This window comes from Homo sapiens, chromosome 9, assembly GCF_000001405.40.
Source record: "Homo sapiens chromosome 9, GRCh38.p14 Primary Assembly".
NCBI classification, from domain to species: Eukaryota; Metazoa; Chordata; class Mammalia; order Primates; family Hominidae; genus Homo; species Homo sapiens.
In genome coordinates, this window is record NC_000009.12 from 79,254,104 (window position 1) to 79,257,657 (window position 3,554).

The 3,554-nt window shown below is 41.2% G+C and overlaps 1 annotated feature.

The window, feature by feature from the left end:
* Positions 1,604-3,206: an enhancer, noted in NCBI's record as "VISTA enhancer hs313". NCBI's record gives its function as "enhancer in: forebrain[4/4] | limb[3/4]" and the evidence as "EXISTENCE:transgenic organism evidence [ECO:0001131][PMID:17130149]".

Sequence of the window (3,554 nt, forward strand, 5' to 3'; positions counted from 1 at the left end):
GAAGGCATTTGTAAAAAGGTCTACGGTTATGCTGTTGTTTCACTGCTTCAGGAGAAAATTATGGAAGCAGTCACAAAAAATTTTGACATTTCCTTGTTTGTAAACTCAAGGTGTGTGTGTGTGTGTGTGTGTGTGTGTGTGTGTGTGTGTTTTAATCATGCAGAATAAGACACAATGTTTGTAAGGAGTAGTGGGATACTTGTTCAAATTCTTCCTCTCCAGATAGACTAATCTAGTATTTCTCATCCTGAGTGTAACATAGAACTACCAAATTTAGAAGCTCTGGGGTAGGCCCTAAACATCAGTATTAAAAACAAACAAAAATGTGTTTGTGATTTTAATGTGCATTCATTGCTTAGATCCACTGATCTGAAGTGCAAATAATTGGGTAAAGAAATGTGGTAGCAATTCTGAGGAAGGAAATCATTACGTATCCTCAAAGAATATTAAAACTGAATACAGAAGAAAGCTTATATTTCCTTGTCTATAAAATAGAGGATAATAATAATATTTACCTCTCAGGGTTGTATGAAAGTAAATAAAAGAGCATTTCATGTGCAAGAACCTATCACAATATCCCAAACATGGTAAGCACCTGATAAAGAGTGGATACAGCTATACAATTTTGTTATAATTTTGTATCTATATATTTACATATAAAATAGTTATATAATAACTTATATAATAGTTATTAATTATTGCCTTGTTAGTAAGCCTAATAATAATGGTACAGTGACTAGTACTACTATCTTAAATATATTTAATGCTTTATTGATTGCCAAGGACTTTCTCATGCACCTTTTCACTTGATTCCAACAACAATATGTGAGGAATGCAGAACAAGTATTCTTCCTTTTTTTTTTTCTTTTCAATGAGGAAGCAAACTCAAATGAAGGTGCTTCTCCATGACTGCACAGCTGACAAATGACAGAAATGGGCTGGAACCCAGAAGCCCTGCTCCCTAACCCTAATCTCACTCTTAGACCCGTACCGCCTCCTACTGGCTTTGTAAGAGCTGGATTCAGAGTGTGGCCTTAAAGTAATTAAGCTCCTTCCATCAGCCACCTGTGAACATGTGTGGCATTATTTTACTGTCACCCTTCAAATCCACATAAATGCTGAAGTCCCTACAATTCCACAGTTCCTTAGTTCAAGCTCTTTCTGTTCTGTTTAGGAAGCATCTCTTCCCTTCGAACAGATGGCAGACAATTTGCTCAGGTTTAAACACTGACTCAGACTTAGTGATAAAACCGGCAGCTGCGTTCCTGATTCTCAAATCCAAATCCCACTTGCTTGGTCAACTTAATGTAAACTAGCAAAGGACATGCACTCTGAACCAAGCGTAGACACAGCAGAGACACTGTCTCGAGAGCCAGCACTGAAATACATACACACATACACCTTCAGCTGCAAAGATCAAATTCCCGCTTTGAAGAAATTATTTTTGTCCTTTTGGGCCATGGGGTCTAGGCAGAACAGTTAAAGAGGAAAAATGTCTCCTTACTGAGACAGGGGGGAGGAAAAGAAGATGCTGAGGGCTTTTCCTGCAGCACCGCTGCTTGTTGTTATTAATACAATTAACCTTTCACTGTTACTAATAACCAAGGTCATTTCCCTTGAAATCTTCAGGTCGGTTTCCCACTTGCTTTGAATGTGTGTGCTCACACAATTGTTTTCATATCCTTCTCTCTGTCTCTTTTTCTCTCTCTCTCTCATCAGGAGCCTTTCAGGGTCTTGCCTGTAATCTGTAATTCCTGTTCACACGACTGTGGGCGTTTTAGGACGTCCCTGGGCAGTTATGAAACTACTGACCGGTGGAGCCTTTCTTGCAGATGGATTTCATTCAGGACTTGTGCTATTATATTAATGGGTTTAATTTAAACAGGACTAGCCTCGCTGGCCAAATTACTGCCATTTAAATCAATTGGTTTAGGGGGAAAGGCAGCCTGACCAGAGCTATTAGACTTCAATTTATTACTGTATCGGCTTTTAAACTGGGCAAAGCAAGTTTGCTAATGTCTGTCCTCTATCCTTTGAGCTTGAGTACAAAACACAGTAATGAGAGTCTTTCGAGTTTTTTTTTTTTTAAAAAGGGGAGGCGGGAGAAAAAGAAGAAAAAGAAAAAAAAAACATATTCATTTAAGTCAATGTTTTATGAGCCAAGACCAGGTAGCCCTCCAAAGAATGCAAACCATAGGATCCTGTGGGTGCCGTTCATGTCCCTTCATTAAATTGAGATTCAAATAATCTAACAGATGTATTAGTTTAAAAAGACTTTATACTTGGATTTTCCCCCTTATAAAAAATAAGCGCTGCTTTTTTTTTTCACACATTTCAACCTGATTCAAATAGAAAAGCAAAAGGGAAGAAAATGCTTTAGATGTGCTCTTTTGATTTTTTCCAATCTCGCCTGAATAAAATGGAATGAGAGATCAAGAACACTCAATTAATTGCAACATTGGGTGTCACTAGGAGAGGGAGGGAGAGATGAAGGGAGCATTAGGGATGCACAACCCTTAACAAATGCATAGATTCAAAGAAGGAAGAAGAAGGGGAATAAAAAAGCGTGTCTGTATTTTATTGCACTCGGTAAGCTTTTCGCTTGTATTTATAGCTGCAATTATATCTCAATGAGGTTTGTCTACAGTGTTGGCTTCACGCTAATTTTCCCCCTCACTGCATTCTTGGAATAGGCTCGGACTGTTTATGAACCAGACATATTGACCTCATTTACAGCTAGCAGTTTAAATCCATAATTTTTCCACCCACAATCCCTCTTTGACATTCCGGCGGTGCGGCCGGCTCAGCGAGACTGAACTAAAAGTCTCACACTTCATTGAACACCATTATGCGGCTTTATGCTTATAAGCCTGTTTCCCTCGGCTGCCTTTCAGCTTTGCTGGAGATCGGTTTGGCCACAGGCCGGCAGTGATTAACTGGAAGAATCCAATAAATCACCCTGTCAGCCAGCAGGCTCTCCTCACTATGTCTACACATCGACATTTGGATTTGCACCTCTCTCTCTCTTTCTTTCTCTCTCTCTTTTGATTTTCTATCCCTCTTTCTCTCTCCGCCCCACTTTCTACAGAGCCATTAAAACACCTCTTTACCTTCACACAAGGTGAACTTGAATCGCTATTGTGAGTATGGCTCACTCCCACCAGCCCTCTGGGAGATAAACCCCTTTGATTTGTGGAGTTTTCCCCTGCCCTCGCCTTTCCTCTCTCCTCCTCCAATTAATTCACCCCTTCACTCTTAGGGCCTCACGGATCAGGCTGCCACGCAGGGGAAAAGACAGGCAGAGCGGGTGGGAGTGTGGCCAGGAGGCAGGTGCTGAAGAGGAAATCCCACGGATTCCTGTCAACTCCCGTCTCCTTCCGAGAGCCCCGCAGCCCCGGGAGAGAAAGGAACTGAGAACTGGGTTCTGCTTCCCCGGACGCCGAGCAACCTGGCTTTTCTATGAGAATGCTAGACTGGGATCAGTTCCTTCCTAGGGGGTGCACATACGTGTGTTCACAACTGAACGTCTGTGCCCACGTTTAGGAACGTTTGTG